The sequence below is a fragment of the Homo sapiens genome, chromosome 1, assembly GCF_000001405.40.
Source record: "Homo sapiens chromosome 1, GRCh38.p14 Primary Assembly".
In the NCBI taxonomy this organism is placed as follows: Eukaryota; Metazoa; Chordata; class Mammalia; order Primates; family Hominidae; genus Homo; species Homo sapiens.
Window position 1 is genome coordinate 108856251 of NC_000001.11, and position 9765 is coordinate 108866015.

The window sequence follows — 9765 nt, forward strand, 5'->3', positions numbered from 1 at the left end:
TATCCTCATGCTTTCTTTACATTTTCAGGAGCTCATTGCCAAACGCCATACCCTTCTTGTATAGAAAGGAAAGATACTTTGTTGGCCAAATTCCCACTTTTAAAATATAATTAATTAAAACTGATAAAATTTGAATTTTGCTCTGGCTCTCAAGAAAAAGAAAAAAAGTCCAGGCACAGTGGCTCATGCCTGTAATCTCAGCACTTTGGGATGCCAAAACAGAAGGATTCCTTGAGGACAGGAGTTTGAGAACAGCTTGGGCAACAAAGCAAGACCCTGTCTCTACAAAGAAAAAAAAAATTAAAAATTAGCCAGCAGTGGTGGTATATGCCTGTAGTCCCAGCAACTTGGGAGGCTGAGATGGAGGATCAGTTGAGCCCAGGAGGTCAAGGCTGCAGTGAGCAGAGATCATGCCACTGCACTCCAGCCTGGGTGACAGAGCAAGACCCTGTCTCTCTCTCTCTCTCTCACACACACATAAACACACACACACAAACACACACACAGACAAAGAAAGAAAGAAAGGAAAAGAAAAGGAGTGAGATACCATTAAGATAAACCAGAAACCTGAGGAACACTCTCATTACATACAGGAAAACAGCTTCTGTTGTTATTATTTTTTGCATGTGTGCATGCAAAATATCAAGAGGATTTTTTCTGGAAAAGGACAATCCATACCCTTAGCAAGGTAATGAGCTTCTTTGAGATAACTGGAGGAACTGGAGCATCTTCCCATGTCAACACTTGGCTCAATCTTGAAATCCAAAGGCATATCCAAAGAGGTTCCACTCAGAATCCAACAGAACCTTTCTGTAGAATCCAAATTGATTTTCTGAAGTCAGGTGACTACATTTGGGGCCACGCCTGCTTATGCAGCTATCTTGACCATTATGTGCTCAGCAATACCTCACAAGTCACTCTGAGATGAACACTTTGAGCAAACAGGGCCAGGACATCACAGTGACCCAGGCTGTGAAAACACTTCAGGCCAGTCCCTGAGTAGGAATGGACAACAAGGTGGTCACCATGCTGACAGCTATTCCCTGTGTGATTTACTTTATTATGAAGTCTAAATTTGATGCTGAAGTGCTAGCCTAAGCTCACTAACCTGCCAACTTAGAGAAGAAGGTAACCATGGCTAGGATGACTGGGAATCTGATGGACTCAATTAAGAATTTCTACAGATGGGAAAACCAAAACTCCTTAGTGGCAAGAGGCCAAAGATGGTCAGCGAATTGTTGTTTCCGGCTGGTAGGTGACATTTCTTCTATTCGCTAAGCCCATTTTGTGATAACACAGTTTTCCATATTGACAGGATTGTTTTCATCACCAAAGGAAAACCGTGGGTCCATGTTCCTGTGACAATCTCTTTGTCTCATTCCCAACACCCTCTGTTCTGTGTTTAAACCTCTACAAACCAGGCAAACTGGGGACTATGTGTAGGACCCAGACATGGAGGAGAAAGCAGGCATTGTTTCTACTTACCTTATCTGCCCCTCCACTAAGGTACCAGTTAGTACAACCACGTAACACTCACAAGTCCTACACTTCTAAGATCAGCCCTACTGACTTTGTCACGGTAAGAGTTGGCTGTTGGAGGCAATGATTCAACAATCTAAATTCTGATTATTCCTTTTTGTATCTGTCATTTAGAATGTGAATAGTGTACATCTAAAAGCTTTAAGTACATTATCCATCAATTTTTACTACACAAAGCAGTATGCTGCTCTGTCTTCAAACAGCACAATGCTACAGTCAACACAAAGGGCAAAACCATGGCAATATGGCAATTGCAATAGAAACTCACCAACATCTTGGAGTCTCTGGATATCACAGGTGAACAAGTTGAAGGGCCTTGCGACACAGACAAGCAACCCTTTAATTCTAAATCATCTTTTTTTCAACAGTTGGAAGTTGACTGCAGTTGAATAACAGAACAAAAACGGAGCTTCAAAATCATGGCGTGCCTGCTTCTTCTGGGTTCTTTTAACTGCAAGCAATCAGCTTTGAAGAGCACGTAGGGAACTTCTGATGTGATACAAACTTTTGTCTTTTTTTTTTTTTTTGTCTTTTAAGAGCATTCAAAAACACTTGGTCTGGCTGTTTCAATTTTCTCTTTCTCTCCTATTCCTAGCTCAAGAATAACATTTACATATGAAAGAAAATAGGAGATGGCTCAGAATAATATGTCCAAGGCCACGCCCAGGCGTCAGGGATTCATGAATTTTGTATACAGTGTATGATGTTTCTAGATTAAAATATTTTCAAAGGTAACATGATATAGGCTCCCTCTGTAATGACTGCATTTGATTATGCTCTGGTAATTCTATCAGCTAACTTTATCTCAGAAATGTGGGGTACCCACAATGCAGTGCCTCAACTGTAACCATATACCATTCAGTGAGGCTGTCTAGCTTCACCCTGTCATTGTGGGGTGGCAGAAGGGAGACACTGTGATGGGCAACAAGTCAATCCAATACTCCTACAAGAGCCAGATGGATGTATTATTTATAGTCAGTCTTAGGGCTGTCGTCCTTTTGGGAGTGCGCATGAATTTGATGACCAGCTGTTACAAATTTGTTATCCTGAAACTATTTTAGAAGTTGGGGGGAAGGGAGGAAAGCCTTTTAAAAGTGCGAGTAAAGCAGTATTTGGAGAAACTTCCTGCCTGTGTTTTACCAGAAAACTTTGCTGGTTTTCCTTGCTCTTTGGTGAGGTTAGCCCTGTCTTTTTATCCAATTTTCCCATTGATGTAGCCTAGTGTGTGCTGTAAACCACGGACCTTTGCTGTGCTTTGGGAACATTTAGAAAACTCTTACCAATTAATTTTCTGAAAGTAATTCCAGTGATAAACTTTAAAACACATTGATTTAAAGAAGTATAATGTCTTTTTTTTTTTTTTTTTTTTTTTTTGAGAGAGAGTCTCACTCTGTCACCAGGCTGGAGTACAGTGGCGCAATCTTGGCTCACTGCAACATCCGCCACCCAGGTTCACGCCATCTCCCACCTCAGCCTCCCGAGTAGCTGGGAGTACAGGCACGTGCCACCAAGCCCAGCTAATTTTTGTATTTTTAGTAGAGGCAGCATTTCACCATGTTGGCCAGGATGGTCTTGATCTCTTGACCTCATAACCCACCTGCCTCGGCCTCCCAAAGTGCTGGGATTACAGGCATGAGCCACCACACCCAGCCAAAGAAGTATAATTTTTAAATTTTATTTATTTATTTATTTTGTAAAGATAGAGTCTTGTTGTGTCCCAGGCTGGAGTACAGTGGCATGATTATGGCTCACCACAGCCTCTACCTCCTGGGTTCAAGCAATCCTCCTGTCTCAGCCTCCCGAGTAGCTGGGACCACAGGCATATACCACCACACCTGGCTAATTTTTTTTTTCTTTTTTTCTTTTTTTTTTTTTTTTGTAGAGACAGGATCATGCTAGGTTGCCCAGGCTCATCTCGAACTCCTGGGTTCAAGCGATCCTCCTCCTCAGCCTCCCAAAGTGATGTGATTACAGGCATGAGCCACCATACCCAGCCTCGAATAAGTATAATTTGTTTTTAATCTTGTCCCTGAAACGTCTCTGCCCTTCCCTAAACTTTCAAACTTAAGTTTTGCAACCTCCTCCTGGAGATAAGAAGGGCCAGAATATTTTAGGAAAACCCTTCCTCCCTTAACCAAAGACTTATGCTTCTCTCCTCCGCCCTCCTCCCCCTGCCTAAAGGAAGAACATTGACTTGTAATTATAATTTTTTAAAATAATGAATACAAGGTTAAATATATTGCACATTGATACCTAATCTATGCTCCTCAAAATGATTTCAAAAAGTTAAGATTTTGATTAAAAGTCTATTTTCATATTAGAAGAAATATCTATAGAATGAATCTCAAAACATGTGGTAGGATTACAGGTAACTTTTATTTTCCCGTTAGAACTGTTCCTTCATTTATTAAACAAATATGTATTGAATGTACCTGTTAGGCACACAGTACCATGCAGGTCCTGGAATCAAAAGGAAATATAGAGAACAGTTAGGTTATGGACTTCGGTGCCAGACTGAGTTTGTAGTTAGGCTCTGCTGCTCACTACTGTGCTATCTTAGAGAAGTTGCTTAACTTCTCTGTTCCTTAGTTTGTTCATCTGTAAAATGGGGGTATTAATAGCACTACCACATAGAGTTGTTGTGAAGAGTATGTGAGTTGCTGTTTAAATCAACACTTACGTAGCACAATGCACCTGATGCTATTCTAATCACTTTCCAAATATTCATTAACTGAGTGCAAAGGATTTAACACATTGTATATTATTATAAATGGTGATAAGTGCTATGAATGATCGGAAGAGACTGCTGGAAGAAAGAATATAAGAAAGGAAGGAAAATCTTTCTCGAGATCAGATAGGCAGGGAAGGGCTCTCCAAGGCCATGCATTTCAACTGGAGCCTGAAGGACGCATACCAACGACGCAGAGAGTCGGGGCAGAGCGTTCTGGGCTGAGAGGACATGTGTGCAAAGACCTGAGGATGGAAAATAACATTGTTTATTGGGAAAGCTGAAAGGAACCAGCATGGTGGTGGCAGAGATTAAACAAGTTGATGTATTCAAGACATAAGACATTTTTGAGTAATCAACAAAACCTGGCAATGTGCTGGTGAAGGCAGGGGAGAATTTAATCAGGACCCCTTGTCATGCTTTCTTGTATTTTTCCAAGTATTTTAGAATAAAGATCACTCAAATCAATAAAAAAAAAAATGACCCCAAAGAACAAAGGACATGAATTAAGAGAAAAAAGATATACAAATATACATGGCACTTAAACGTATAAAAAGATGATTACCTTTGTTAGGGCATGTTCTATGTTTTAAACATATTTGTAGGCCGGGCGTGGTGGCTCATGCCTATAATCCCAGCACTTTGGGAGGCTGAGGTGGGCGGATCCTTTGAGGCCAGGAGTTCAAGACCAGCCTGGCCAACATGATGAGACCCCGTCTCTACTAAAAATGCAAAAACTAGCCGGGCATGGTGACAGGTGCCTGTAATCCCAACTACTTGGGAGGCTGAGGCACGAGAATCACTTGAACTTATTTATTTATTTATTTATTTTTGAGACAGGGTCTTCCTCTGTCGCCCAGGCTGCAGTGCAGTGCCATGATCGTAGCTTACTGCAGCTTCAACCTCCAGTGCTCAAGTGATCCTCCTACCTCAACTTCCCAAGTAGCTAGGACTACAGGTTCCTGCCACTGCACCTAGCTAATTTTTTTTTTAATTTTTTTAGAGGTGGGGTCTCACTTTGTTTGCCAAGCTGGCCTTGACCTCCTGCGCTCAAGCAATCCTCCTGCCTCGGCCTCCCAAAGTGCTGGAATTACAGGCGTAAGCCACCGCACCCAGCCTATGCCTACTTTAGCTTTAATGCATGCATGAGGTTTAGAACAGTGCCTGACACATAATGTCTTGATACATGCTAGCTTTAAAAACTTGTTAACCATTATGTAAAATACCTCTCTCAGTATTTCGCAATTTTAGCTTTTTTAGTCAGTTTGTATGGTTTTATATGAGATGAGGATTTGAAATGTAAATCTGTTATAAGTTGTGCCATGGTAGAAAAACAATAGCTATCAATACTTCCCTAACCCCTTTCTTGTAAAAAGCACAAAGCTTTTTGCATAGTCGTAAGTTAGAGCCCCCAACACGATTATAAAGTAAATATTACCTGATCCAATGCTGCAATGCCAATTTTTACTAGATAGTATTAAGATACTGGAAGTGACAACCATATGAAAGGTAAATAATCAACGTTTAGCCTTTTATGATAGGCTTGTGTAGGTTTCAAAAGCGTTAATTAACTAAAACTCACAACACCTAGGTGAAGTATTTCTTTACCCTCTCAAGCAATGTCATTATCTCAGAGAAGGGAACTCGGTACAAGGTTAAACAACTTAGGACAGGAAACAATTATCTGCTCAAAAATAACAGCACTTTGCCTCTAAATAACACTTTTCAACCAACAGTATCCAGTCACATTGCAAACTCTAATTAAACACTCTCAGGGACTTAAGTATCTCCCTTTAACCTTGTGGAACAGATTGAAGGAGAGGAGGCAGTTTAGCTAAAATTACACAGCAGGCCACTAGCAGCCAGGATTTAATCCCTTGGAATCAGGGGTGAGGTGGGATTAAAAGCCTACTGTGTGGTAGGTGCTTTGTGTATATCTCTTCAGTCCTTTCCACAGCCCCCGAAGTAAATATCATTGCTTCTTTAAGATGAGAACTGAGGACGCGGTGGCTCATGCCTGTAATTCCAGCTCTTTGGGAGGAAAAGGCGGGCAGATCACTTGAGGACAAAAGTTTGAGACCAGCCTGGCCAACATGGTGAAATCCTGTCTCTACTAAAAATACAAAAAAAAAAAAAATTAGCCAGGCATGGGGCATGGTGGCATGCACCTGTGGTCCCAGCTGCTCGGGAGGCTGAGGCACAATAATCACTTGATCCTGGGAGGCAGAGGTTGCAGTGAGCTAAGAGCATGCCACTGCACTCCAGCCTGGGTAACAGAGTGAGACCCTGTCTCAAAAAAAAAAAAAAAAAAAAAAAGATAACCAAGCTCAGAGGAACAGAGCTAGGACAGGTCATCCAAAGCCAATGTGCTTCTACTCCTGTAAGACCACATGTCACAAACAGGAAGAAGAAATAGAAGCAGTCAGACTCATCAGTGTTGTTGTTGTTTTTAATAAGATTGGTTATTGTTTTAGTTTCCTATTGCTTCTATAACAAATTGTTAAGGAACAAAATTTCAACAAATTGATTTCAAAGATCTAATTGGCTTTTGTTGGCACTTCATGAATCAGGCAGCATCCCATCTATGAAATAGAAAGGCTCTTCAATGAGCTGAGCAGAGAGGATGGGCTTTACAGGCAGAAAAGGCTGAAGTAAGCAGAAATAAGGAACAAGGAACAATAAGCAGATTGGTTGTTTCAAAGTGACTTCAAGCAGAGGGGATTTCCTTATCATGCCTGATCAAGTTGACTGGGCCCCATTAGGTTGGTTGCTATGAATTTCCTGTTTTTTGGAAAACTGACCCATTTCTAAGTTCAGTTTGGTTATGTGGCCCCTAGCACAAGTGACTCCATTCTAGTTTGGTCTGGTCTGTTGGGGCCTAGTGCAGGAGCTCAGTCAACCAATGACCTCTCATAAATTTTATTTCACAAAGTTATCACAAATGTAGTGTAAAACTACACAAACTGATTAAGTTCTGGAGGTCAACGTCTGAAAATAATTTCACTGGACTGAAATAAAGGTGTAGGCAGGGCTGCATTCCTTCTGGAGGCTTGACAGGAGAATCAAGTTTCTTGCCTTTTCCAGCTTCTAGAAACCATTTGCGTTCCTTGACCCATTGGCCCCTTCCTTCATCTTCAAAAGCAACATCACAACATCTTCAAATCTCCTCTGACTGTGACATTCCTGCCTCAGTCTTTCACTTACAAGGACCCTTGTGATTACACTGGGCTCACCTGGATAATCTAGGATAATCATCTCAAGATCCTTAATTTAATTGCACCCACAAAATCCCTTTGACATGTAACACATGTGCAGATTCCAGGGATTAGTACTTAGACATCTTTTGGGGCCATTGTTTTGCTTACCATAGTACTCTTTTGGAGGATTCTTAGAAAACTAGGATCTATGCCTCATCATTTCATCCCCAAGCAGCATTTATTGTATCTCCAGGGGGTACTACTACCCCAAAGTCCCTCTTGATGTGAAGCTTTTTTATCCCGTGGAACAATTGTAATTTATTGAGATACAGCAGGAGGGCATACCTTCAAAACTGGAAAGTTTAAAAAAAATTAAAAATGATAACTATTGATACATGCAACTGTAATACATGGATGAATCTCAAAATACAGTTATGTGTCACTTAACACCAGATACACATTCTGAGAAATGCATCATAGAGTGTACTTACAGAAACTAGATGGTATGGCCTGCTACACACCTAGGCTGTATCGTATAGCCTATTGCTTTTAGGCTACAAACCCATACAGCATGTTACCATGCTAAATTATGTAGGCGATTGTAACACAATAGTAAGTATTTGTGTACCTAAACATAGAAAACGTTCAGTAAAAATATGGTAATAAAATCTTACGGGACCACTGTTGTAGATGTAGTCTGTCATTGACCAAAATGCTATTATGTGGCGCTTGACTGTAATTTAGCTATTTGAAGGAAGCCAGGTTACACACACACACACACACACACACACACACACAGAGGGTATATATTGTATAATTCCATTTATATAAAATTGTGAAAAATGCAAAGTGATATATAATAATAGAAAGTAGATCAGTGGTTGTCTGAGTTGGGTGGAGGTTGAGAAGGCAGATAGGGTGACCAAGAGACATGAGGAAATTTTTAGAAGTGATAGATATGTTGATTGTGGTGATTTTTTTTCAGAACTTCACAAATCGTGCCTTTTAAATATGTCCTGTTGATTGTATGTCAGCCATAGCTCAAGAAAGCTATTAAAAATAATACAGCTGAGGGAAGCTTGGGAAGCTGAGGCGGATGGATAATTTGAGGTCAGGAATTTGAGACCACCTGGCCAACAGGGTGAAACCCCGTCTCTACTAAAAATACAAATATTAGCTGGGCGTGGTGGTTCACACCTGTAATCCCAGCTACTTGGGAGGCTGAGGTGGGAGGATCACTTGAATCCAGGAGGCAGAGGTTGCAGTGAGCCAAGATCATGCCACTGAACTCCACCCTGGGTGACAGAGCCAGACCCTTTCTCAAAATAATAATAATAATAATACATGAGCAGGCCTTGGTAGCTCACACCTGTAATCCCAGCACTTTGGGATTCTTAGAGTGGAGCATCACTTGAGGCTAGGAGTTTAAAACCAGCTGGGCAACATAGCAAGACCCTGTCTTTAAAACACACACACACACACACACACACACACACACACATCAGCTGGGCATGGTGACAGAAGCTCACAAGCTTGTAGTCCTAGCTACTCAGGAGGCTGAGGCAGAAGGGATCTCTTGAACCCAGGAGTTGGAAGCTGCAGTGAGCTATGATCACGCCACTGCCCTCTAGCCTGGATAACAGAGGGAGGCCCTGTCTCAAAAACATAGTAATAATAGAAAAGAGACTTTAAAGTCCTCTGAGGCACACAGGAACTTCATAAAATGAGATTATAGAGCCAGGGAGAAAATTGTATCAAACAGCAGTAACCTTATCTATAAAGCTCTTCAGAAAAGTTTTAATGACCTCATTCAGATGTTATCATTTTAGGATGATTGCAGGTTTGCAAGTGTAACACATTTGGCAGTTTGTTTTGTGTACTGTCTAAGCTCCATATGGCCTCTGAGGCCCTTTGTGAACTGCGGCAGCCTACCTCCCCAACCTGTCTTCCTACCACACCTTGCCTTGAAATTCATGCTTCAACAATCCCAAGCTATTTATAGCTTCCCAAGCTCACCTGGTGTTTTATGTCCCCAAGTCTTTGAAGAAGACACGCCTGGAATGCCCTTCCTGTCTAGCGTCCTTGGCCAGGAGAGGTCATCCCTTCATCTTTTGCCAATTCATGTCCTGTACAAGGTTCCTCAGTTACACTTTCCCCACTATCTTGTAATTAATTTTTTCATATCTGTCCTGTCACTAGCCTATCTGTACTCCCAACCAGGGCATATGGCAGGGATGGCAGGGTCTCAACATTTATTTCATGGAACTGGAAATTCTCCCAGTGTGTCATGGTGGTATACAT

At 41.4% G+C, this 9765-nt stretch overlaps 1 protein-coding gene and 1 long non-coding RNA gene across 4 annotated transcripts in view; one reads left to right on the forward strand and one right to left on the reverse strand.

Annotated features, from left to right (window-relative positions):
- AKNAD1 (AKNA domain containing 1) overlaps positions 1-1994 on the reverse strand; it is a 42344-nt gene extending 40350 nt beyond the window's left edge. The window contains exons 1-2 of one of the 2 annotated variants that reach the window (NR_049760.2): positions 1808-1994; positions 679-810 (exon numbers count right to left, since the gene is read on the reverse strand). The gene's annotated coding sequence lies outside the window, so the exon portion shown is untranslated. Of the gene's footprint in view, positions 1-678; positions 845-1807 lie in introns of those variants that run through there. The other variant, NM_152763.5, reaches the window with a different exon arrangement.
- On the forward strand, positions 967-2274 carry SPATA42 (spermatogenesis associated 42). 2 transcript variants are annotated; one of them, NR_034168.1, is made up of 3 exons: positions 967-1251; positions 1908-2017; positions 2135-2274. It is a non-coding gene; the product is annotated as a spermatogenesis associated 42 (long non-coding RNA). The 2 variants fall into 2 exon arrangements; NR_049777.1 differs by lacking the exon at positions 2135-2274 and having other exon boundaries at positions 1908-2090.